This window comes from Homo sapiens, chromosome 3, assembly GCF_000001405.40.
Source record: "Homo sapiens chromosome 3, GRCh38.p14 Primary Assembly".
Classification (NCBI taxonomy): Eukaryota; Metazoa; Chordata; class Mammalia; order Primates; family Hominidae; genus Homo; species Homo sapiens.
The window spans coordinates 119,468,627-119,495,520 of record NC_000003.12 but is presented as its reverse complement, the minus strand read 5'-3'; the positions used below and the strand labels follow the sequence as shown (position 1 = coordinate 119,495,520).

Here is a 26,894-nt window from a genome sequence, read left to right as displayed (position 1 = left end):
AGTATTAAATGAGTGACTTGTAAATATAACTCTCTGCTCCATCCACAACACCTTACCTCTGGATGCAGTAAGATTATCCTAAGAGAGGGCATCTTTAGATGCATGTAAAGATAGACTTTTGTGTATCTGTGCTTTTTTTTTTTTTTTTTTTGAGAAACAGGGTCTTATTCCCATTGCCCAGGTGGAAGTACAGTACAGTGGCATGATCATGGCTCACTGCAGCCTCAACATTGCGAACTCAAGCTATCTTCCTGCCTCTTTTTTTTTTTTTTTTTTTTTTTTTTTTTTTTTTTTTGTAGAGCCGAGGTCTCACCATGTTGCCCAGGCTGGTCTTGAACTCCTGGGCTCAAGTGATTCTTCTGCCTTGGCCTCCCAAAGAGCTGGGATTACAGGTGTGAACCACTGTGTCTGGCCTGTTTGTGCTCTTGTTTGTAGTCAGTCTAGGGGTTAAGTGTAGGGAACTCTTGGAGGTGACCCAAATGAGTCCATTAAAGTTTTTGTCCTTGGGAATTTTGAGCTGAGACAGAGCCCAATAGGTAATGGAACTGCATTATAGTAGCACCCTGGAAACAGTCAAAATTCTTGCTGAGATTCCTGGAGGTGCCCTTGCTTCTATCCTTCTAACCACTGTGAAACCTTTTTAGATTCCACGAGATGCCCTCATGTCCTTCTAGTAAGTTACTTTGCTTAAACTAGCTAGAGGCAGTTTCTGTTCTTGACCACTAGGAAAATCTGAACTGATATAGTAGAATAAGGTGGGTCACTGACAGCACATAGATAACACTCCCGAAATAAATAAAGACAAAGCATTATTTGTGTTATGCAAGTATCCCACTTCATTCAAATAAATTATTCTTTCCTTGAAGAAAAGCATGGCCATTAGCTCTCTGAAAAGGAAAGGGTAAGTTTGGGACTGAACTAGTAATAACAACAACAAATAAAACCTTCAAAAGTTGTGGGGAAACAAATTATTTTCAAAAACAATTTACATAGTTATACCATCCTCATATCATCTACACTGAGGTAAACAGATAGACAAGTACAAAATCTGAATAACATTTGCTGTATTTAAAGACAAAGATGCCCTTATTGGCTCTTCAAAGGGCAGGTGAGGATTTACATTGATCCAATTCTTATGGTCTTATCTACTCATCCTTTGGAGCCAGTAATAATCTGTATATAGGATCTGGTTAAGCCAACTGTCTCCATTCCTCCATCCATCCATCCACCCACCCAATAGTTCTTTGTGTGAGGCACTGTGCTGGATCATGAAGCCATCAAGATGAGTAAAATTAGATTCTCACCCATTAATAAGTTTACAGAACAGTAGGAGAAACAGTCAAGCAACTACAGTGATGTCATATAATACAGGCATAAACAAAGTACTATGGTAGCCCCTTACTGCCTGGAGGAATGAATGAAAGGAGTCAGAAAGAAGGTGATGTTTGAGCTGAAACTTGAAGCTAAATGGGAAACATTCCCAGGGAAATGAATCTTCAGCTCCTAATCTAAAGGATAGCAAATTTTGTTCCTATTTTAATGAGAGGAAATTAAAATTCAGAGAGAATGCTTACACCTAGTAGGGCCTCACAGTGACAAGGCAAAACCATAGTACGACTCAGAAATCTGGACTGCCTATTGCTAGATTCACAGACTAAGAACCTAAGAACACGGTCCCTGTGCATTGCTAGTACTCAAAAAAAAAAAAAAAAAAAAATCCAACTTTAAACATCTGCTTATTCCATGAAATGATCTTGCCAGGCATGCTCAACTTCTCTAAGAAGGTCATTAGACTTAAACTTTTGTGGAAAGGAGTTTAAAAAGCCAAATACATTTCTGACAAATGGAATGTCTGATAATTATGTGACTGAATCTCACATTTACTAATTCTGAAACTAGTTAATACCAAATAGTTCTTAAAAGACAAAGGAAGAGAGGTGATTTCTCTGTGGAAAGGTTGGGCCTAAGGGTCAAGGATGGTTCTAAGTCATCAGACTACAGAGTTTTAATCTAAACATTTTTCTTCATTTTTTACTATGTTAGAAAGAGCACCCTGAGATATTAAACTACTACCCAAAACATCTTTTTCAAAAAGTGAAAAAAGGAAAAGGGAGGCACTCCATCATGGATTTGCACTAAAACAAATATCTTCTATATATTTGAAGTTGAATGCTCTTAACTACCAACTGAATGGCACGTTCACATATGAAGACTTCTTGTGATTCCTGCAAGACAGTGAGAGTGTGAATGACCCCTGCTGTGGCCAATTTAAGAAGGAAAAATATTAAAGGTATGCAAAGGGTGAGGAAGAGCTGCTGTTCTATGTATAGTTCCATTAAATTTATTAAGAGGCTTTGTCTTTTTTTTTTTTTTTGGCTTTAGAGAGGCATTAAGAAGTAGGGCATGAAGGCACAAAAAGGGAACCTGAAATCCAATTGCAATAATTACTCATGCAATTGGCCTCTTTCTATGTGGCATTATAGAAACCTCCTGAGTAACACAGTTTATGGTTTTACAAAAGAGAACTCCTACATCATTGCATGGCATGGCTACCGCTTCCTTAGACCATTCAGAGAATGATCCCCAAGTATTTTTCATAAACCCCATAGGGTTTCCTACATTAAAATAAAGTGACAGAGATCACGCCTTGAATAATTTCACAATTCCAGCAATGAGTTGTACTACTTCCAAATGACGAATTTTCTGCTCCAAATAATGGGACAAAGGGCATCATCACATGGACACAGTCAATTTCACAGTGATGGACTCACACAGGTGGATGATCTGAGGCACAAGCTGTGATTGGTCTTAAGAAAATGAAAGGTAGAGTTGGGTTCAAAATCCACATCTCACGATTTCTGGTCCTTATTCATCCAAAAAGTTGAACTGCTTCATATCAGTGTATTAGACACATTTTAAATCTTTCTCAAGAGTTGCTCTGGGTGCAGCATGATAAGGAAAACCAGGTATTTGGCTTGATAGCAGATATTCAAGGTATAGGTGCCAAGCTTATGGTAAGCTTCTCACCGTAGGATATCTGAGATCTGTTGCCACAAAGAGGACTATGGTCCTATGATGACTACTATAGTTCAGTTTTCAACATTTTGGGAATAATTTGATCATAACCTTTCCTTCTCGTTACATTATAAGACAGGAATTTAGAGTATTCACTCAAGAGGTTCTCCCAGTAACAGGTGATGTCATCCATCTGCAAATGGTTCCTAATAAACTGGCTTCCCCTAGAGACAAGATTTAACAAGAAAATGTTAAAGCACAGAATTTAATGATAATAGCAGTCTGCATTTGAGTGCTCACCTTGTGCCAAGCATTATTCAGCATTTTATATAAATTAATTCATTTGAGCCTCAAGAACCAACCCTATGGCAATCATATCCACATACATGCATGTAGCAATACAACTTAACAATCTTTTTCCTTTATTTATTTATTTATTTATTTATTTTTTGAGACGGAGTTTCGCTCTTGTTGCTCATGCTGGAGCGCAATGGTGCGATCTTGGCTCACTGCAACCTCCGCCTCCCGGGTTCAAGTGATTCTCCTGCCTCAGCCTCCCGAGTAGCTGGGATTACAGGCACGCACCACCACACCCGGCTAATTTTTTTGTATTTCTAGTAGAGATGGGGTTTCACCATGGCTAGGCTGGTCTTGAACTTCTGACCTCAGGTGATCCGCCCACCTCGGCCTTCCAGAGTGCTGGGATTACAGGCGTTAGCCACCACGCCCGGCCCATCTTTTTCCTTTAAAACAAGCATATGTAGACATGTGTGTATGTTTTCCCCCAGGACAGGTTTAGTTCTGAATTATCTCCATATAATGAGGATAAAATACAGATGTCACCATGATAACAATATTCAGATAACTTTGGCTAGGGCATAATGGGGATGACAAAAAGTAAAGTGGAAAAGGGAAAATGAACAGAACTCACCTTTCAGCAATCTCTTGAGCTACATCATCATTTGCTTTTACAAATTGTAACAGCTCTCTAAAATGAAAAGAATTTTAGACTGTGAAATATAGACCAACTTCATTGGCACTAAGTCAGAAAGACGATATAGATTGAGGTCTATGGATAATTTTAGGTATGTGGATGGTGGATTATTTCCTTCAAGCAAAGATATCAGGGTTCTCTCAAGAACAAAATAATAACAAAAAAAAACCCCCACACACTGATTAAAGATACCCTATTGTAGATTTGGGACATATTTGAGAAAATACAGAAGTTACCTTATATATTTACATATATTTTGTATATTTATATTATATATTATATTAGATATTTATATTATTTTACATATTTATATATAAATATATTTATATATAGAAAAAAAATATATATACACAGATATCACCATGATAACAATATTCAGATAACTCTGGCCCTTCTCTATACTTCTTCCTAGCTCCTCCTGTCATGAAAGGAAATTTGCTGAAGCTTCACTTGAGTCAATTCTCATGCTGTATCTGAAAATCCTTTTGACAATATAATAAGATTGAATATCCCTATCTTTAGTCTTGGAGAGATTAGAGCTTTTTAACTTCATTTTGTCTGAACGTTTCATTTGAAACCAGTATTAAAGCGCTTTTTCAAATTAAATTCCACTTATAGCCTACTTGGATAATAATGCAATACTATATATGCAAACCAAGAGGAAAAAAAGCTTTCAATGGAAAAAAATCGTAGGACTAAATGTCTTACATGACTGGTTTTAAGGCATTAAGGCATTTTTAAAAGCAGATTGGAAGGGTCTTTAGAAACTCTGCATTGGGGGATAACTGCTTACTGGACATTGGAGAGATCTGTTTTGACTGGGATATAGTGAACCCATGGCTTCAGCTGTGGATAGAAGAATTCTAGCCACTCATCACCAACATGGAAAACAAGTGAGCCACACAGGAAGAGGTGTTTAAACCGGAAACTTGCAGCTACGCCTCGAAAATTAAACAGATACCTGGGGAAAAAAGAACAAAATACATTTGATACTATATGCCTGCTGCCACAAATATGACCTTTTATGCTTATTCTCCCCTCCCCTTCTTTCCTTTTATGATTCCTCTCCATTCTCTTTCCACTTTGAGTTTTCAAGGACACATTAATATGTTCCTAAGTGGTTTCTATCAGCCACTTTACCAGGGCTAGGACTACAGGTTGTTCTGGGAATGGCAGGGTGAGGAAAAATAGGGGATATTTTCTCCAGACAGCACTAGATAGGGTCAGGAGCTGGGTGCCGGGTAGAGTGTATACAGGGCTCAGAAGGAAATGACAGCTTGTAGATTTGGAACATATCTGAGAAAATAAATGTTCAATGGTAAACATAAAATAAAACGAGTGAAAAAAATTTCACAAGCTTTTCTAGGCCTAATGTCTCTAACTAGTCATGGCCTCCCAAAGCCTTGTTTTTCCTCTAGTGTACCCCATCTGGTCGAAGGTCTCCACTGCTTCCTGGACATCACCCTCTTCTCTTAAAGTATAGAGCAGCGGTCCCCAACCTCTTTGGCACCAGGGACCAGTTTCATGGGAGACAATTTTTCCATGGATGGGTAGTGTGGGGGAGATGGTTTTGGATGAAACTGTTCCACCTCAGATCATCAGGCATTAGTTAGATTCTCATAAGGAGCACGCAACCTTGATCCCTTGCATACACAGTTCACAATACAGTTTGTGCTCCTATGAGAATCTAATGCCAAGGCTGATCTGACAGAAGGCAGAGCTCAGGCGGTAATGCTCGCTTCCCCACTGCTCACCTCCTGCCATGCAGCCTGGTTCCTAATAGACCAGTACCATGGCAGGGGGTTGGGGACCCCTGGTGTAGAGAGGAGAATGAGGAAAACCTAATCAATTTTCAGAGATTGCCCACAGGGGAAAAAAAAAAAACAAAAAAAGCTGTCTTCTTCTCAGCATTTCTTATGCACGCACCTGTCGCCAACCAGAGTTGCTTTCACCATATAGCTCCTACTCTGCGTGTCATTAGCACTCCTAACTCTGAGCCACCCCCACCACCACTGCCCTCCTCTAGACCTGGTTTTACCTGTTCATCTAATTCTTAGTCCCAGAATTTTATTTTATTTCTCTTAGAGACAGGGTCTCACTATGTAGCCCAGGCTGGTCTTGAACTCTTGGGCTCAAAGGATCCTCCTACCTCAGCCTCCCGAGTAGCTAAGACTACAGGAGCATGCCAGCACACCAGGATAATAATTCTAATATTTATTAACTGAGAAATATTTATTCTAACTTCAATGATTGGGTGGGTGGGGCATATGGAGAGGTAATTCCATTACTGTGATTACTAGCTAGCATGCAGCTGTTTGGAAGCAGGAACCATGTTCCATTCTTCTCTACAGTCGCCACAGAACTCAGGTCAGTGCATTTAGGCCCTGAGGAAAAGCCAGTGAAATGAATTAATGCAACTTTCATTTACTCCAGCTGGGCCTTTATATTAAAGTTCTCACCCAAAGTGAAGCTATTTCAAAAGCAGTATGGAAACCAAGAAAGTGAGGAGTCCTGCAAATCTTACTTGTATTTGCAGTGATCCACAAGATGGACATCCTTAGCAGCTGGCTTTCCTAAGGTATCCTTTAAGTGGAAAGGAAGTTATTAGTATTAACAGCAACAGCATTTATTGTGATCACTGTGCAGCAAGCATTGTTAAACATTTCATCAACATTACCTCATTTAAGCTTCATAATCAATATACTCAGGAGACATTATTATTCCCATTATATAAATGCAGAAGCCAAGGCTTTGGAAGTTGAGATTTGCTCAAGGTCAGTGTGGCTCTAAATAGAAGACAGAGTTTTAACCAGGGCCCGTCTGATTTTAAAGTTTAAGCACACCTAAAGCCATGTTGCCCTCCTTTGAATTCAGATGTCACAGCCTGCAGCACACTTCACTCTGTGTAAATAATGTATGCAGAGAAGGTCCCAAGTGCTGGCTGATGGCCTTAGGGGTGTATATAGCCCATGCTCAAATTTTGTTGGGCATGCAAAGTATTTTTTTTTTTAAATCAAATCATTGCCAACATTTACAGGTGGTAGGATATTTCTTGCAAAAATCCAGATTTCCAGTCTTTCTTGGAGAATAAAAAGGAAGATCTGGCAAACTGGGCTCTTATTAACATTTGGAACTGTTAGTATTCTCTCTTGCTCACCTCTTGACATCACCTGCTGGCCCCTGGGGACATCTGAGTTTGACATCCCCAGGTACATTCCATCCACCTTAGCAGATGGTAAACTCCTTGATGAGGGGACAAGTTTTGTTTGCTTCTGCAGCCTCCCACAGTAGATGCTAACAACTTTTGTTCTAAATGAACACATTTTTTCATATTTTTATTATTCAACAAAGTTTCTTAAGCTCACTTGCTCCTGATTAAAACTGTATGAAATAATACATGCACCTCAGATTTACTTAGTTTTCTCCCAAGAAGTCTAAAGCTTTTCCTCATAGCATCCTCATATGGTATATGGAAATTTCATATAAAGGAAGTTTAGGGCTTTAATTTCTTTGATTAAGGCAAAAAGCCATAGAGTTAAGAGGAGAGAGTGGACTGTAAACCAACGGTCCCATTTCTGGCTTCACCTTAGAATCACTTGAAAAGTTTTAAACAAATGAAGATTCCTGGACACCATTCCCAGAGATTCTGACTCATTTGATTCATTTTCTTAAGCTCTCTGGTTGTATTGCACAGCCAGGGTTGAGACCATTGATTTAAACCAGGGGTTGGCAAACTACGACCCACAGGCCAAATTTGACCCACTGCTTGTTTTTGTCATGGACTAAGAAATTTTTACATTTCAAATGGTTAAAAAAAAAGGCAAAAGAATAATATTTTATGACAACTTAAAATTACATGAAATTCAAATTTCAGTGCCCATAAAGTTTTTATTTTTTATTATTTTTATTTTTATTTACTTATTTTTGAGACGGAGTCTTGCTCTGTCGCCAGGCTGGAGTGCAATGGCGTGATCTCGGCTCACTGCAATCTCTGCCTCCCAGGTTCAAGCGATTCTCCTGCCTCAGCCTCCCCAGTAGCTGGGACTACCGGCACATACCACCATGCCCGGCTAATTTTTGTGTTTTTAGTAGAGACGGGGTTTCACCATGTTGGCCAGGCTGGTCTTGAACTCCTGACCTCAAGTGATCCACCCGCCTCGCCTCCCAAAGTGCTAGGATTACAGGCATGAGCCACCATGCCTGGCCGTAATAAAGTTTTAATAAAAACACTGCCAGGCTCATTCATTTACAAACTGCCCATGTCTGTTGGCAACTGCAATAGAGACCATACGACCTGCAAAACCTACAACATTTACTATTTGGCCCTTCCTGGAAAAAGTTTGTGACCCCTGGTTTAAACCTTCAAAGTAGTGCAATATACTAGTCATAATATGGCCAGAAAAGCAATGTAAGTTTGAAAAAGGAGAATTTACATATATGCTAATGCTGGTTCATGGAACTTTCTTTACATTCACCTCACCACTGACAGGAAACCTAATCTCAAATTCTACCCAGGTGGCAATGTTCTTTGAGTGAGAATGTTCACTGCTGTAGTTCTAGTCAGATGACTGGTGATTACTTTCATAGATTTCCAGGCCTGGTTTTTGGTGTATTCTGCATCAACAAGTTTTGGGTTTTTCCGAGACAGAAGAATGAGAGGATCTCGTTCTGGACTTGTCCTATAAAAGAAACACGTGACATAAAACTGTGTGGCCTGTATTAGAAAACTGTTCCCAATCCCTGAAAGGTGAGCAGGACTAGGACCCAATGCAATGACTCTGCACAAGTGGACAATTCACTGGTGACGTGACAGCGGAGGAGGGGTATACTGGGTACTGCAGCATCTAGGTCATCCAGGGCTGGTCCCCTCTGTACCTTTAGGGTTGGGGGGTACTTGGCCCTTCTTTGCTTGCATTTGGTCTTGAAGGGTATGTTGTTCAGGTCACTATAGTCAAATCCCAGGGAATGATTTCCCTTTTAGGAAAGTTCATGTGGCTTCTATAATCACTGGTGCTCATAACTGTGAGGCTAGGTAGTCACGACTCACTAAAACAGCTACATGACCTTTGTTATGTATGCTCTGTACAGCCCAGTATAATATTTAATTTAAAAAAAATGCACAAAAACCAAAGGGCTTAAAAACCTGACGACTGTATGTGGAAGAATTTCTAGTGATGTTCCAAGTAGCAGAGGGTCTTGACATGTGAGGCATCATGGATTCCTTGATAATCTGTTAAGAACTATGAACCAACCCTCTCTCCTTCCCAGAAAAATGCACATATCCTCACATAATTTCAAGGGAGTCCTAAAACTCTTGAAGTCCAGACATGGTCCCCAAGTTAATTTGTGACTTCAAGATTTAAGAATCAGAGAAGTTGGTAAGAAACAGGACATAGTAGCTGGATAATCCATTTACCTCCTAAAGTCTAGCTCCGAAGTGAAGAGGAGGGTGAAGAGGGAGTATAATCTCTGGCAAGGACTCACTTGCTAAAACTACAAAACCCTGCTCCCTTCATGGTCTTTTCTATTCATCTGCTCCACAGATATTTATCATATATTGACATGCTAGGAACTGTTCTTGGCCTTGGGACTATGGAGCTGAACAACACAGGGTCCTCCTACTACCTTTGCCATTTTTCTCTTCTCTTTCCTCCCTGCTCCCTTCTTCATTTTCAGCAGTCTCAGTCTGTGCTCTTAACCACTATTTGGCAGCCACAGGGTGTGATAAAAAAGGCAGTCAAGAGATATGGTGATGAGTCCTGCTCTGCATTAACCAGCAGAGTACCGTGGCATGATCATAAGCTACTCCTAGGGACTGTAAGAAGACACCCATCTGTTGTGTTTGGCATCACATAATCAATGACCGACACATTTGTGACACTATGTAAAATATCTGTTAAATGACTGAAATGGATGAACTTTACTTCTTTGAATATCAACTCAATCAATGGCGATTTCGGCAAATAATGTGAATTATTCTCGAATCTAAAATTGTGATTCCACATTTCTTTCTTTGTTATCTTAGCTTTCCCTTTGAACTACAGAGCTTGTCATACCCTCAAAGTTACTTACATTTTACATTACTTGGAAGAATATCTTTGTAAAATGTCAGAAAATAACTCACCTTGATCCTCGGAAATATGCTGTAGAGTTTTTCTTTTTCCATGGCCACTGTGCTGCTGACCTAAGAATATAGAATTTAATTAGTTTCAATATATCTTTTTCAACTATATAAGAATGTGCTTTAACCATTTCTGAAGATTAGTTCAGAGCTTCATATTTCTTTTTTTTTTTTGAGACGGAGTCTCGCACTGTCGTCCAGGCTGGAGTGCAGTGGCGCGATCTTGGCTGACTGCAAGCTCCCCTTCCTGGGTTCATGCCATTCTCCTGCCTCAGCCTCCTGAGTAGCTGGGACCACAGGCGCCCGCCACCACGCCCGGCTAATTTTGTGTATTTTTTAGTAGAGACAGGGTTTCACCGTGTTAGCCAGGATGGTCTCTATCTCCTGACTTCGTGATCCGCCTGCCTCGGCCTCCCAAAGTGCTGGGATTACAGGCGTGAGCCACTGTGCCTGGCCAGAGCTTCATATTTCTAAGTAAGTCTAATCAAAGTCACTCAAAAGAAAAAGCCCTAAAGGACACTTTGTTTCCTTTTGCTACCATTTCATTGCTCTGGAGGTGCTACCCAGTTGTATCTACAAATCTACTCCCCATTAACAAGTTAACAACATTGAAAGAAAAGCCCCCAAACCCTGAAGGTCATGATTAGGTCTGTTTATAATTTGGCAAATGTGGATTTCCTCTGTACTTTAAGTAGGGTGCTACTGATGAAATTAATTATGTGTACAGAACTGCAAAAAAATAAAAAAGCATCAGAAATGGAATGAAAGGGAAATCACTCTCTGATTTTATGTTTTCCATAGGTGGGAAGTGTCATCAGATTTAGTTTGATATTTGAAAAGCACCTTTGTATTCTTAAAGCCAGACTAAGTGCTCTATAAAGATGAAGTCCTTGAAAGTCAGATCTCAGTACACATTACCATGACCAGCCTTCCTTACTGAAACTGCTAGCTCACAGATGCATCATTCTTAACTTGCTTCGTAGGAACCCTCCCTGCACAGAAGTCTGCACAGCATCTTCTCTGAAAAAGGAAGGGAAGGCTGAACTGAAGTTAATGAGGGATTGATGGGCTGGATTACAGTAACGGAGAAACTTAGGATATAAACTTTCTAGGCACAGGTCCTTTTCAGATACATATAATGTCATGCTGCTCATTTTCACTCAGCTGAGAACGCTGCTCAGTATTTTCCAGGCCCTCAGACCTCCACCCTCAGCCAACGTGGCTCATCCTCTGGCCTTTTCTGGATGGATCACCTTTACCTGATTCTCCAGTCTAAGGCCAGAACTATCTTGTTTTCCCCATACTTCTTCCTGCCCAAGCAGAGACACTATAGCACTGGATTTTTGTTGTTTTGTTTTTAGTGGAAAATGTTTCATGCTCCTCATGCAAAGTTCTCATGAAAAAGCATAAAGATAAAAGTAAGAAGTCGTCTGGAATCTCCCTGTCCAGAGGTAACAATGTAACATTTTAGCCGAGAATTTCCTTGCAATCATTTATTCATATTAGTAGCTTTCAACTGGGGGTAATTTTGCCCGTCCCTCCCACCCAGGGGACATTTGGCCATGTCTGTAGACATTTTTGATTGTTACTACTAGGGGACTGCTACTGGCATTTAGTGGGTAAAGATCAGAAATGCTGCTGAACAATCCTACAGTGGTTAGGACAGCTCCCAGGACAAAGAATTATCCAGCCCCAAATGTCAGCAACACTAGTACTGAGAAACTTTGCTCTATGTAACAGAGGTCACACCATACATACTGTTAGGTAACAATCTTAATAGGAAATATAAATAATAATAACAGCCAACATCTATATAGCACTTCACTATGTTACAGACATTGTTTTAAGTGCTTTGTAAATAAAAAATCATTCTCACAATCTTAAGAGGTAGGTTTTATCACCCCTATTTTACAAATGAGGTCCTTTAGAGGTTAAGCAACTTGCACAGAGTCATGCAGCTAATAAGAGCCAGGATTTGAACCCAGAGTTTTTAAAACCTACACTGCCTTTCCATTCATGCACGATATTCCATTTTATAATCTCTGGCAAAGACTCACTGCAAAAATTCCATTTTATAGTCATGTTATGATTCACTTCATCCTTTATTGATGGACTTTTAGGTAGTTTCCAACTTTCTGCTCTAAGAAACAACATGGTAGTAAACATCCTTGTACACAAATCTTTGCACATTCATCTGATTAATTCCTTAGGATACATTCTAGACATGAAACAGCTAGGTCAAAGGATACACAGTATACATTTCCAATTTTGATACATATTGTCAAACTATCTAACAAAACATGTATCAATTTATACTCAAAGTTACTTCTCTTTATTTCCTTGGCTCCTGGGGAAGCTGTGTTTCATATACACAAACCCAAACTGTGTATCACTGTTCTCTCTCTTTCATTCTCCTAACCTACCCATCCTCCCTCAAAAGACCTAGGTTAGGACTTGTTTCTCCAGGCAAGTGCTAACGGTGGCCACCACAGCCTGGTGCTACCCCAGCCCTCTTTTTTAAACCCTCTCTGACAGTAACAAATGAAATCTTCGATCTGTAAAGAACAATGAATTCTTCTACAGAGTGAAATATAAATCAGTGGGCACAAACTCCCAAAATATCAGAAAAATAGAATGAACAGTGGCAGGCAGACATCAGTGCAGATGGATAAACAAGCAGATTATTAAATTTTCAAGGTAACAAATGAACATCATTAGAGATTCTAAACAGAGGGTTCTAAAAAACAAAATTGTATTTCTATAACCATGAATAAATTCAATTGAATAAAATGGGAAGGTATCAAAAGAAAAAAGTATTCATATAAGATTAGACTTTAAAACATTCTATCTGCCTAAAAATTGCTTACTAGTTTACCTGGGGGAAAATGGTATTAATAACTACACGGTGGAGTAACTGGATAACACCTTGACCCCAGGAGTTTGAGTCCAGCCTGGGCAACATAGTGAGATCCTGCCTTTTAAAAATAAACAAACAAACAAATAAATAAAGTGACTCTTTCATATGTACTGACATGAAACAAAGACATGGAAAGATTACTTAGATACACCAATAAGTTAGGGGGAAAGTTGCCTGAGTTATACATATTTGTAAAATTTTATGAGCATATATAGGTTTCATAATCAGTAAAAATGTTTTTAAAGATTTTGAAAACAAAGCAGCTGCATGGCAGGTGGGAAAAGAGCTACAAAAAGAAGAATGTGAAAAGGGTATTTGCAAGTACCTGAGGAGGGGGGGAAAGGATTAGAAAATTAAGGCCAAGGCCAAGAATAACTTAGGGAAAAAAAAGTTTAAAACCTTTTTTCCAGCTTAGTGTGGTGGCTCATGCCTGTAATCCCAGCACTTTGGAGGCCAAGGTGGGAGGATCACTTGAGCCCAGGAGTTTGAGATCAGGCTGGGAAACATAGCAAGACCTGTCTCTACAAAAAATTTTAAAAAACAACCAAGAAACAAAAAAACCACACCTTTTTCCCCCCCTCTCAAAATTATGTTCAAAACCCAAAAATAAACAAGAAATGACAGTCTCAATGTCAGGAAAACACAAGGAATATTAACCAGTAAAGTAGGTTGGATAATGCACTTGGAAACCTGGTCTTTAGGCCTAGATTTGCTTCTGACCTTGACCAGATCACTAAACCTTTCTGTACCTTCATTCCCTTATCCCTGAAATAAAGGGCTGGACAAAGACAATTTCTAGTTCCAGTTCTGTAAAATATGAGACTAAGTTATTATTTTTTAAAATTTCCAAATTATACCCACTAGAGAAGTTTGTTTTTTAACAAAGGGCTCTACCCACCACTGAGGACTGCAGCCCTGTACGTTTCTTCAGGAAGGGAATATTACCTTAATCCTCTTTGAATCTTCAGCCACACTTGGGAGAGGTGATAGGTATTTATGGAAACAAGGTTGAATTGTTTGCTTTCCTTATACCTGAGAGAAGGCCTATAATGACTGTGTTTCCGGAAGTTCTCTAATTAAGCACCAAAGTTGTTTGAATCATGATGTAAAATGTAGCTAGGTAAGAAATACCTACAGCTTGGATGAGCTACACAATCTAAATTCTGAAATGATAGCAGGATGGAGTCAACAGGCCAAGGCATGTCTCAGTCATGAATCAGAGAGGATCTGGAATAAGCTTGTACTTGAGATGCTTATGGGACATTTATGCTCCCTCAGCCCTGCCTAAACTACTTAGCTCTCAATTGCCAAGTATGTTTATATTCTTCCAAATAATTTTCTATCCCCCCTATGACGAGGTCATTCATTTTTTCTTACTATGAAAGAATGCACTCTTATTTAAAGAATCTTAAGTATAGAAAAATTGAAAATACTGACTGAGCACAGGGGCTCGTGCCTGTAATCCCAGCACTTTGGGAGGCCGAGGTGGGTGGATCACTTGAGGCCAGGAGTTCCAGACCAGCCTGGGCAACATGGCAAAACCACATCTCTACTAAAAATACAAAAAATTAGCCAGGTGTGGTGGCACATGCCTGTAATCCCAGCTACTCGGGAGGCTGAGGCAAGAGAATTGCTTGAACCTGGGAGGCAGAGGTTGCAGTGAGCCGCGATAGCACCACTGCACTCCAGCCTGGGAGACAGAACATGACTGTGTCGCAAAAAAAAAAAAAAAGAAAGAAAAATTTAAAATACAAAACAAAAGTCTCTGATAATCCCTTGCAAAGAGGCATTGCTGATAGTTTAGGATAGACTATTCTGCCCCTTTCTATGGATATGTAAATATTATTAGACACGTACAAAATTGTTTACACTACAGTTTTCTGTCTTTAATTTTTAACTTAAAAATTAGTCACTTAAAAATAAATAGGCTGGGCGCGGTGGCTCACGCCTGTAATCCCAGCACTTTGGGAGGCTGAGGTGGGCAGATCACCTGAGGTCAGGAGTTCAAGACCAGCCTGACCAACATGGAGACACCCCGTCTCTACTAAAAATACGAAATTAGCCGGGTGTGGTGGCACATGCCTGTAATCCCAGCTACTCGGGAGGCTGAGGCAAGAGAATCACTTGAACCTGGGAGGCGGAGGTTGCGGTGAGCTGAGATCACGCCATTGCACTCTAGCCTGGGCAAAAAGGGCGAAACTCCGTCTCAAAAAAAAAAAAAGTAAATAATTGGTTATATTCTATGGCTTATTTCAAGAAAACCCAGAAAGAGAAAAAATAAAACCTCTTTAAAGGACCTACCTTACCAGATCTTCTCTGAAGAGGTCCCACCGTCCAAGACCTGTAGGATAAATTGGCCAAACAGCAGGTCCCCCTTCCCAAAATGTCCAAGCAGGATACATGATATCATGGTACTCTGATGTCTTCAACAAAAACAGACAGGTCGTCCTAAATCAGTCTTGGAACAGTGAAAAGAGGCAACTGCAATCATGCCACAGGATCTGGACAGCCTTGGTTTAGTGTCACATTGTCAAAGATATATTTTCCCTATTTTCCAAAGTCTAGCCTGTAGACATTAAAAGGCAAAAGTGACTATGGATTAAAAGTCATGGGCTCACTGAATTCCAGAATTCAGAATCACATTAAAGGTCAGCTTTTTCAGTTCCCCCAAATTCTGTTTTTCTAGAGGATATATACTGTTAAGATTTCCAATTTAAGGAAACAATATGCCCAATTCTGAATAATCACAGAGCTCTCTCATTGTTTAACTATTACATTTAAGAGTTTACACTGTCTTACCAGTTTTTGGTTATTTCCCAATGGGTTTTTTTGAGAGTAAGAGCCAAGAAATACATGCAATGGTTAAGAGTGTGGGCTCCTGATGTGGATCACATGGGTTTGGATTCTGACTCCACCTCTTTACAGCTCTAGGCAAGTTACTTAATGGTTCTATGCCTCAGCTTCCTTATCACTGTAATGGGGGAAACAATAATATCAATAATATGATCTAACTAAAAGGTTTATTTTGAATATTAAATGAGTTGATACACGTAAAATTCTTAGAACAGTAGCTGGCACATTGTACATACTTGATAAATATTGGCTAGTGTTATCTCATACTATGGCACTGTTGGGCTCACATTGATTGGTCAATAAATTCTTGGTTATTCACTGATCGGGGTCAGAAGTATGGATGAGCAAAATGAGAAGGGGTGTTATCACATATCTTTTGAAAGAAGTTTGAGGTTGGGCACGGTGGCTCACACCTGTAATCCCAGCACTTTGGGAGGCCGAGACGGGTAGATCACCTGAGGTCAGGAGTTTGAAATCAGCCTGGTCAACATGGTGAAACCCTGTCTCTACTAAAAAATACACACAAAATAATAGCCGGGCATGGTGGCAGGTGCCTATAGTCCCAGATACTCAGGAGGCTGAGGTGGAGAATCACTTGAACCTGGGAGGTGGAGGTTGCAGTGAGCTGAGATCGCGCCACTGCACTCCAGCCTGGGCAACAGAGTGAGACTCTGCCTCAAAAAAAAGAAAAAAGTTTAAAGCCATATGTTCCCCCCTTTTTTTTTTTTTTTTGATCCACCTGCCTCGGCCTCCCAAAGTGCTGGGATTACAGGTGTGAGCCACTACACCTGGCCTCCATTTGTTCCCTTTTTATGGTTACTTCTGTTAAAAATCTGGCCACTGATAAACCTCTAACTCTACTATTTCTTCCACTGGAAATACATGTGCAATATGCTGTTTGCTGTCTCTCAAATATGTAAAAAATGTGATTCATCAAGCACCTTAAACATAACAGCTATTCAATAGAAGCTGCACAATTAACTATAAAGTTGACAGAGTAAAACTCTCCCTTGGAAACTAGAAGTCACTGATTTAAAAAACAGAAGGGAAGTAAAGATGAACGGAAAGTTAGTATACCGACGGTCATACTTTATTATCCATAGAAACAACAGATAGATAACAAACACGAAGTCCCTACTGACTTACATGGGAGCCTCTATCTGTTCTTCTGAGTGAGTTTCATGACAAACAATGGAACCAAACACTTTCGAGAAATGAGGCTAGACCATGGGAAATGCAACACAAATGTGGCCTCTGCCCACTTGCAACACAGGAAATAAAACAAGTCTAGGGAGAAAGTAAACTATGATAAAGAAAAAGTGGGGATAAAAGGTCCCTCTGCTTTAGACAAACCAAATCAGAAATAGTGTTCCTTTTCCCAAATTTCATGGGGTTTTCCTCAATTCACTCTTACCCCATAGAATCTTCCATCCACTCTCTTCTAGCCTTCCTGCCTTCACCCCCAAATGCTTTCCTTGTCTCTAGGGAACCAAGGCCCATCCCTGCCGATACAACATTTACATGAACCTGAGCACTGACAAGACATTCCTTGCCCCCAATTCCCCAAGCCCACAGGTGTATCCTAGCTACTCCAATCTTCCATGATGAGTCTAAAAGATCACCCCCTTGCATAGCCCTCTAGGCTATCTCCAGCCTATCCCTTCAATGCACGGCTTGTACACACACCGTGTGGAGTTATCTGGCACCTTCAGGTTCACTTTTAGCCACCCTGGGCCCCCGGAATATGGTGACAGATGGGACAGCTGATACCCAGCACTATGGCTGAATATATACATAGTAGGAGCTCAACAAACTTTTGGAATGAAGGTGTTCCCTAACTCCAAGCTTTCTTGGACCCCTTCCTCCCATGCTCTGTAAGATCTTCAAGACCCACCTCTAATTCCTGTAGGTTTCTCAGGCCTCTCACGCCCTAGCCTCCATCTCTAGCCCTATAGACACTCAAGCAATCTTACACTACTTACCAGCTCTCAACTTCATCTCCTCTGTCTTTTTGCTCAATCACTGTGATGCTAATAGAGACACAGACCCATTTCTGGACCTCAGTCCTCATCCTTACCATTATCCATCAGACTATGTCACCGGACAAAGATCTCATGCTCATATCCTAGAGGACCACTCTCCATCCACCCATGTGGCTCTCCCTGTACTTACCTTACTGAAGGAGAAGACTGGGATGGCAGGCTCCATCCATTTAGGAACCTGAGGATAATCTCGTACATTGATCACCATCTCCATGTCAGGGAGACGCCCGATCACTTCCAAAATAAAGTGCTCAACACCACTACACCTGTCAACCAGACATACCATAAATTCAGCAGAGTAGTGCCTGCAGGCTCTAGGACAAGGCGAGGTCCCATTCACATTTTAAAGTAAGACAAGCCAGTGTTCCAGTGTTCCATATCATCAGTCTACTGCAAAGTCTCCTGAAAACAATGCTTCTAAAGGGGCTATTCTGCTTTTTTGTATTGTGCAAGTTCACTCATAGCTAAGCTGCTCCAGCTTACAATACTTAATAAAATTTTCCAAATAAATCGTCATAGCTTTGAAGGGAGTATTATTGCTACTTCTACCACTTTATTCATTCCAGTTCTTTTCTTTATTTCCCTTATATGGAATAGTTTAATTAGTAGACAAGATACAAACTCTCGTAATAGCTGAAATAGCTAATTTTCCACCTGTGTTCCTTTGGCTTTGCTCCTCACAAAGACACCATTTTTATTTCCATTATAATTAAGTCTCCTAGTTTATGAGAACAGATAGAAAACCTTTCATTACCTTCAACCTGAATAAAGAACATTATCAAAATCAGTTCTGCAAGCCAGAAAAAGTGTTATATACATAATCATAAATAGTGTAACACAGCTTTCTGACTAGATTCCCTGGGAAATCAGGGATTTCTTGAAAGAAAAAGAAGATACACTGACAGTTTAGCTTGTTTCTGCCTCATCCTCTGAGGTCCTGACCAGCACTATGCTAGGGGCAATATTCAAAGGCTTGATCAAAATTTTCTGGCAGCATGGAAATAACTGATTTAAAATATTGTTTTACTACTTGGGAGACTTAGGCAGAAGGGTTATTTGAGCCCAAGAGTTCTAGACCAGCAACATAGTGACACAGTAGGCAATGTAGTGAGCTCCTCTAGCCAAAAAAAAAAAAAGTGTTTTTTATATAGGGAGATAACTGCAAAAAATATCAACAGTTCACAAACATAGGAAAAGATGCTCAACTGTATTAATAATAAAGAAATGTCAATGAAACTAGATACCAATTTTACCAATCAGATTGGCAAAGATCAAAAAGTCCAATAGTGCAGTGTTGGTAAGGGTGTGAGATCTATTCACAGCATATGATATATCGGTTGTGGAAGTGTTTAGCCTCTTTGTAGGACAATTAGATTCTATTTACCAAGATTTCTCTTTTTTTAAGGTTTTTTTTATTTGAGGCAGGGTCTCTCGCTCTGCCACTCAGGCTGAAGAGTGCAGTGGCATGATCATGGCTCACTGTGGCCTCAAAAATCCTAGGCTCAAGCAATCTTCTCACCTCAGCCTCCTGAGTAGCTGGGACTACAGGTGTGTGCCAACACACCTGGCAACTCTGTATGTGTTTGTGTGTGTGTGTGTGTGTGTGTGTGTGTGTGTGTGTGTGGAGAGACAGTCTTGGTATGTTGTCCAGACTGATCTTGAACTCTTGGGCTCAAGTGATCCTCCCACCTCAGCCTCCCAAAGTGCTGGGATTACAGGTGAGAGCCACTGTGCCCAGCCTGTTTATCAAGATTTTTTTTTTTTTTTGAGATGGAGCCTTGCTCTGTGGCCCAGGCTGGAGTGCAATGGCGCAATCTCAGCTGACTGCAACCTCCACCTCGGGTTTCAAGTGATTCTCCTGCCTCAGCCTCCCGAGTAGCTAGGATTACAGGCACAGGCCACCATGCCCAGCTAATTTTTTTATTTTTAGTAGAGATAGGTTCTCACCATGTTGGCCAGGCTGGTCTTGAACTCCTGACCTCAGATGATCTGCCTGTCTCAGCCATCCAAAGTGCTGGGATAACAGGCGTGAGCCACCTCACCCAGCCTATTTATCAAGATTTTAAAATGACATTAATTGCCCTAGTTATTATACTTTTAGGAATTTAGCCTACATATATATTTACATGAGTGTTCACAGTAACAAGGATGTTCACTGCAGCATTGCTTGCGTTATCCAAAAAGCAAAGTGATGTGGTAAGGGATAATCTAAATGTCCACTGATAGAGGGCTGAATAAAGAAATCCATATAATAAGTTATTATGCAGCCATGAAAAAGTGAGGCATTCTCTATGGACTCTTATGGAACAATCTCAAAATCTACTGTTATATGGAAAAGAAATCTAAGTGCAGAACAGAAGACAGCATGTTTTATTTTGTTGATGAGTCTAGATGCTTGTAAATGTACAGACTATTTCTAGAAGGATATACAAGACACAGAATTCTAATTGTCTTTTGAAAAGAGGTCTCAGGGACTAGCAGTCTGAGGGTCTGAGGTGGAAGAGAAACTTCCTTTTCACTGAATGTCTTTTGGAGGTATCCAAATATTTTAGCATGGTAAAATATTTGGATATTTTACATATCCAAAGTGTATGTAATACTCTTTGACACTAAAAGAAAAAAAAAACTAGTTAAAAAATGTAAAAAAATATTGCAGTACAATTTATACATTACAGCTAAAATGCTCGTATTTCTTTCACATTTGGCTTTTAATTTAGTTTAATTTAATTTTTATTTTTTGAGATGGAGTTTCTTTCTTGTTGACCAGGCTGGAGTGTAATGGCGTGGTCTTAGCTCACTGTAACCTCCGCCTCCCGGGTTCAAGCGATTTTCCTGCCTCAGCCTCCCAAGTAGCTGGGATTACAGGCGCCTGCCACCATGCCTGGCTAAATTTTTTTGTATTTTTAGTAGAGTCGGGGTTTCACCATATTGGCCAGGGTGATCTCGAACTCCTGACCTCAAGTGATCCACTCACCTCAGCCTCCCAAACTGCTGGGATTACAGGTGTGATCCACCATGCCCGGCCACATTTGGCTTTTCAAATATACTCTCTTATATGATTCCATTTATAGAAAACTAGAAAATAATCTATAATTCGAGAAAGTAGTCAGCGGCTGCCTGAAGGTGGGGCATGGGGAGGAGAGGGAGACAGGGAGACGCAGGAGAGAGGGAATGCAAAGAGGCAGAAGGAACGTTTTGGTTGTGATGGAAGGTTCATTATCTTGGTATAAACATACATGAAGACTTATCAGTGTACACTGTAGGTTTTATTTTTAATTGATAAATAATAATTGTACATATTTACAGGATACAATGTAATGTTTTGATATATGTTTACATTGTGGAATGAGTATATCAAGCTAATTAACATATCCTCACATACTATTTTTTTGTTGTGGGAACATTTACATTGTATACTTTATATGTAATTTATGTTAACCACACCTCAATAAAGCTGTTATTAAAAAATACCATTACTCCTCATCTTTGAAATGACTTGTCTCTAGCATTAATTAGATAAACCTCTGGTTCCTCTGCTCATCCTTGAAATGTGGAGTTTATATTTTATTTTATTCAAAACTGAGTTTTTAAAATGTCACATAGATTTCTGAAACTGGATGAGTTAAAAGTATCTAGACCTGCCTGTAATCCCAGCACTTTGGGAGGCCGAGGCAGGCAGATCATGAGGTCAGGAGTTTGAGACCAGCCTGACGAACGAGGTGAAACCCCGTCTCTACTAAAAACACAAAAATTAGCCAGGTGTGGTGGCGGGCGCCTGTAGTCCCAGCTACTCAGCAGGCTGAGGCAAGAGAATGGCTTGAACCCGGGAGGCAGAGGTTGCAGTGAGCCGAGATCACACCACTGCACTCCAGACTGGGTGACAGAGTGAGATTCTCTCTCTCAAAAAAAAAAAAAAAAGTATCTAGACGTAGAAAGATATTATTTCTAACTATATGGGAATCTTTGAGATATCATACGACTGTGTGCATTTCATTCAGGATTGTGTTTTGGAATACTGCATTCTATTCGTATTTTGTCCCTCTCTGTTTTCCTTAGTTGTATATGTAGCTAGGATAGGGAACTTTCAGTGTCATTGGAAATATATATTATTTTATTGCTAATGAAGGTCCTGTACTCCCTTCAGAACATTTCTAAGCTCATGATTATGACCAAAATGTTCTGAGCTCAGGAAGAAGAGAATTGTGCCTTTCAGAAACTTTGAAAGCATTTCATTTCATTTGGCAATTGTTCAGCAAACTATTAAACATTGGGTAAGCTTTCAAAGTCCAACAATGTCTATATTCTTATTTTATTTCTCATCTGTGGAAATCAAAAATTCTCCTAGACTCACAATTTGTACTTAAAGTCTCTATTATTGAGTTCCAAATAATGAAACAAATGTCTGTTTAAAATACCTTAACGATTTTTTCCTCTACAACCTTATTTCCTCCGATATCTGATAGCCAAAGGGTAACTGATTTCCTCAGGGTAGTGAGATATTAAATAATCTTTCTTTTTTATTGTTCTTTATTATTATTTATTTGAGACAGGTCTTGCTCTATCACCCTGGCTGGAGTGCAGTGGCATAATCACGGCTCAGGCTTACTGCAGCCTTGACCTCCTGGGCTCAGGTGATCCACTCACTTCAGCCTCCCAAGTAGCTAGGACTACAAACACATGCCACCACACTCAGCTAATGTTTGTATTTTTTGTAGAGATGAGGTTTTGCCATGTGGCCTAGGCTCGTCTTGAACTCCTGAGCTCAAGCGATCTGCGTGCATTGACTTCCCGAAGTGCTGGGATTATAGGCACAAGCCACCATGCCCAGCCTGTTTTCTTGTTTACATTTATTTATTTATTTATTTAGACAGTTTCGCTCTTGTTTCCCAGCCTGGAGTGCAATGGCACAATCTCAGCTCACCGCAACCTCTGCCTCCTGGGTTCAAGCAATTCTCCTGCCTCAGCCTCCTGAGTAGCTGGGATTACAGGCATGCGCCACCACAGCTGGCTAATTTTGTATTTTTAGTAAAGACAGGGTTTCTCCATGTTGGTCAGTTTGGTCTCAAACTCCCGACTTCAAGTGATCCGCTCATCTCAGCCTCCCAAAGTGCTGGGATTACAGGCTTGAGCCACCGCACCCGGCCTTGTTTATATACTTATAAGAATAAATATTAAATTCTTACAAAGTTGTTATTAAATACAAATAATACAAATCTTTATGAACGAATCGATAATTTTTTGCAACTCTGCACATTTATTTCACTTTTAATGACAGAATAGGGATTGTTTAGAAAGATGCTCTTACATAAGGGAATATTATGCCCTCTGAGTTTTGTACCTTCTAATTTTATAAAGATCTGAGTTAAAAAAAAAAAACAAACTCCAAAAATAAAGTTTATCTTTTGGTGTGTGCAATGCTGCCTAAACCCAACCTCCACCCTCAGCCCATGACCCTCCCTGCTTACCACCCTGCCTTCAGCCCACTGACATGGTACCTCAGGTCTCACACCTGAAGTTCTGAAGTCCTGGCTAGTGTAATTTGCAGCACTAGTTACTCCTCTTTATTTATTTATTTTTTAATAGACAGGGTCTCACTCTGTTGTATTATTTGCCACTGCCGGATTATTTGCCATAATCCAACTCCTGGGCTCAAGTAATCCACCACAAAGTGCTGGGATCACAGGTGTGAGCCACCACCACCCCATCTAGTTACTCCTCTTGACTCTACCACCTCCCCTTGAATATTCAGTATCTAGAACTACACTGGCCGATGACAGACATTCAACCAATTCCTCTTCCTCCTTCAGCCTAGCTCCCTCCTGCTAGGCCTGCTAGGCCTCATCAGCCTGTGTCCTGCCGCTACTATATCCCAGGGAAGGAGCAGAAGAGGCAGAGCCACCACCAGTACAACCAGTGATGAACCAAGCCTCACAGAGGAGACAGGCTTTGAGAGGAGCTCGCAAGAAAAATTCCCAGGCAAGGAGAAGAGCTCGTCACTATTTCATAGTCCGCCTGAAATGTGAGGAGGGATCTGCTTGTTAGTCCCATGAATTGGCTCCTCTATAAAAGGGTATCAAGCCCATATGTAATAAAGTCAGAAGATATATCTACCTCGTTAACTCTTACCTTGAGGGGAACATGCAGTCATTTTCCCGGTACAGTCTGTTCTTAGTGATCTGATAGTGGGTCCCTAGCTTCCGTCTGACTACCTCTGCCATCATCTTCCTGGAGATGCCTCCTCGGAAAGGAGTTAGATCCTCTTCTATGACACTGGGAAAGAATGGGAGTCATCAAGGAAAGCAGGCCAAGAGAGTGGTGCCATTCCACCTACTTCCTAAGTGCATTTAGGTTTCGTATTAGAGAACACAGTAAGTGGAAGGAAAGAATCGAGAGTGAGAATGAGCAGCTCTTCCCTAGAAGCCCTGTAGGTAATCTGAAACATCAAATGCAATAAAGCAATAAAAAGTAAAAAGCGGGTCAATGTCTCTTCTTCCTCCTTCCATCTGGATTGCCCCTCCCTTGGCAGTTCTGTATTTCTCTTTCGCTACTCATGCCACACCTGTGTCCTTCTAGTCACTTCAGTCCTCCTGGCATCTCCTCCCAATCCCACAGGAGGTGAAGTTTACGCCTTACAGTCTAGCACTGACTCTCTTGTTCTGGTCTGTCTGGTCCACACTCTCCCCCACAAGCCCTTACTCTGGTAGCGTGACAGCAGTAACCAAAATTACACTATTTTGTATTCCTTTTAAAGTGAGTGCATAGTAAGTTTTCAATAAGTATCATAAGCATCCAAGGAATTTTTTGAGGAGTCAAAAATAACATAAAAAGGAGCTTAAAAGACCCTGTTATTTAGCTGATGAAGAATCTGAGACCCAGAGGAGTTGAAGTGGCTCGGCACAGGGGTAACCAGTGGGAGTACCGGCACCAACACCCAAGTCTGTTTTCAGAGTTATCTTTCTACCATACCTCATCCCGGCCCTGATGTGCATTCTCTCTCTTTTTTGAGACGGAGTCTCACTCTGTCACCCAGGCTGGGGTGCAGTGGCATGATCTGGATTCAATGCAACCTCTGCTTCCCGGGTTCAAGCGATTCTCCTGCCTCAGCCTCCCGAGTAGCTGGGATTACAGGCACGTGCCATCATGCCCAGCTAATTTTTGTATTTTTAGTAGAGACAGGGTTTCACCATGTTGGCCAGGCTGGTCTCGAAATTCTGACCTCAGGTGATCCACCTGCCTTGGCCTCTCAAAGTGCTGGGATTACAGGCATGAACCACCATGCCCAGCCTGATGTGCATTTTCTAAAGATAACCATCAGGAAATTTAGGACTAGATTCAGCGATAGATGGGTTTATTTCCTCAACAATATTTATCGAGCACGCACTGACAGCTAGCACCAGGGAGACAACAGCAAATAAGACACAGACCCTGACCTCAGGAAGCTTGCAGCCCAGTGGGAAAAACAGATGCACATGCACTGAATCCCGCAGTGAGTCAGTGGTTAGGTTGACACCACCTGAGCCTTTCCCATGCGAGAGCATTTTTATTCCCCAGAAATAGAAAAACATCCTTGCCTTTCTGACCACTGCAACCAAAATCTCTCAAGGATGTTAGAATACTTCCTGTGACAGCAACTAAACTCTCAAAGACACATCAAAGAAAAGAACTCACCCATGGTAGCAGCTGCAGTTTTGACTTGAACATGGTTCGTAATTCTCCAAAGACCTGTTAATTTGGTCAATAAATACTTTCCATTTTGAACCTTTAAAAAGTGAAGTAAATGAGAGTTAAAAAAATTTTCCTGAATGTTATTTGCTGACACCACACCAACAGAAGAAACAGAAGACCAAAACTTTCAGAAATCCCCTTCCCATCCCACTGATGGAAACGAAACGCTAGGGAGGAATTTTTGTGTGTGCAACTCCCACGCTCACGTCAAGTCTGTTCCTCTATCCGGCTGTCAGGTGTCCAAGAAACTGGAAAATTCCCAAGCTTAATGCTCAACCCTCAGAATGCTATGGATAGTGACGCGGACTCTCACTTTCTACTAATCAAATTGAACTCCACAAAGAGGATCAGTTAAAAGCTACAGACATTAAACCCCTCTTCTCTTCTGGCAACGCATATACACACACGCTCGCGCGCACGACATTTGCCCCCATCCCCGACCCCTCAGTGTTTCAGGCAGGTCCAGAGTAGCCAAGCACGGGCCACGCCTCCTGCGGGTGAACGGGGAATTCCCTCTCCTCCCTGTCATTCTGAATTCCGGGGAATGGGTTACTCTCCAGGGTCCAGAGCAGGAGCAGAGACCCCGGCACCTCACTCTCCGCCGCAAGGCGCCCCGGTGCCTTCTGCCCAGCTCCGAGCTACAGCGGCCACGGCATCTTCCCGGGAGCCGGCCGCGCGGGGGAGCGCCTCGGGACTCCGGCCAGACCCCGAGCCCAAGGGGCAGGCTCGGCACTGCCCGGAGCCCACCTGACTCCTTCTGGCGGCCCTGCGCTGAGGGCAGGAGGAACAACAGCAGCCAGAGCCGAAGCGGCGAGCTAGCCCACCACTCCATCGCCGGCAGACCTACTGCAGATTCCCCGCTGCGGCGCTGGCGGAAGCGCGGCCCCGCACAAAGATGGCCCGGGAGCCGCAGCACGTGGGCGGCGGGTCGCCCCGCACAAAGATGGCCACCGTGGCCCCACCACCCTTCCTCCAGTCCCCAGCCTTGAGGCGGAGTTTCCCTGAGAAGGCTGCGCCGGGAAGGTGGGGAGGATAAACGAATGGACCAGTTGCCTATCCTCCCTCCCTGGCACCCCTGGGAAAATAGGTCTGCAGCCAGAAAACTGAAGGTCAGAGAGGGTATGTTTCACGGTTAGTGGCACAACCAAGACTTGGCATAGAGCCTAGGCCAAACAGTTCTTCTCTTGACGTCAAATTGCCTCTTATCAAATAGCATAAATTTGTTGA

The 26,894-nt window shown here is 41.3% G+C and overlaps 1 protein-coding gene across 5 annotated transcripts, besides 4 other annotated features; it reads right to left on the bottom strand.

Annotated features, from left to right (window-relative positions):
* On the bottom strand, window positions 813–26,558 carry POGLUT1 (protein O-glucosyltransferase 1). Of its 5 annotated transcripts, none has more exons than NR_024265.2 (11): window positions 26,415–26,558; window positions 25,611–25,701; window positions 24,069–24,212; window positions 18,073–18,208; window positions 15,349–15,613; window positions 10,134–10,193; window positions 8,589–8,688; window positions 6,534–6,592; window positions 4,803–4,970; window positions 3,947–4,003; window positions 813–3,239 (listed from the first exon to the last, which is right to left on the bottom strand). NR_024265.2 is itself a non-coding variant. In NM_152305.3 (11 exons), the coding sequence occupies exons 1-11, from the start codon at window positions 26,497–26,499 to the stop codon at window positions 3,083–3,085; spliced, it is 1,179 nt and encodes a 392-aa protein (NP_689518.1). In that variant the 5' UTR covers window positions 26,500–26,558; the 3' UTR covers window positions 813–3,082. The 5 variants fall into 5 exon arrangements, 4 of the variants coding, with proteins under 4 accessions (NP_689518.1, XP_047304551.1, XP_006713768.1 ...); NM_152305.3 differs by having other exon boundaries at window positions 15,349–15,470; XM_047448595.1 differs by lacking the exons at window positions 18,073–18,208; window positions 24,069–24,212; window positions 25,611–25,701; window positions 26,415–26,558 and adding an exon at window positions 17,047–17,187.
* Window positions 26,282–26,481: a silencer, noted in NCBI's record as "silent region_14630". NCBI's record gives its function as "represses an Ori minimal core promoter by ATAC-STARR-seq in GM12878 lymphoblastoid cells {active_cell/tissue: GM12878}" and the evidence as "EXISTENCE:reporter gene assay evidence [ECO:0000049][PMID:35858748]".
* Window positions 26,282–26,894: a biological region, named in NCBI's record as "H3K27ac hESC enhancer GRCh37_chr3:119187474-119187974".
* Window positions 26,394–26,894: an enhancer, noted in NCBI's record as "H3K27ac hESC enhancer chr3:119187474-119187974 (GRCh37/hg19 assembly coordinates)". NCBI's record gives its function as "activates a minimal SCP1, AML or CMV promoter by ChIP-STARR-seq in naive and primed H9 embryonic stem cells {active_cell/tissue: H9 hESC(naive and primed)}" and the evidence as "EXISTENCE:reporter gene assay evidence [ECO:0000049][PMID:30033119]".
* Window positions 26,532–26,701: an enhancer, noted in NCBI's record as "active region_20303". NCBI's record gives its function as "activates an Ori minimal core promoter by ATAC-STARR-seq in GM12878 lymphoblastoid cells {active_cell/tissue: GM12878}" and the evidence as "EXISTENCE:reporter gene assay evidence [ECO:0000049][PMID:35858748]".

Coding starts and splice junctions, on each gene's coding strand:
- POGLUT1 (NM_152305.3), bottom strand. CDS start 26,499: ATGGAGTGGTGGGCTAGCTCGCCGCTTCGGCTCTGGCTGCTGTTGTTC. Junction 8,689..10,133: donor GCATATTTCCGAGGATCAAG/GTGAGTTATTTT, acceptor TTTCTTTTATAG/GACAAGTCCAGAACGAGATC. Junction 6,593..8,588: donor AGGCCTGGAAATCTATGAAA/GTAATCACCAGT, acceptor TTCCACTTAAAG/GATACCTTAGGAAAGCCAGC.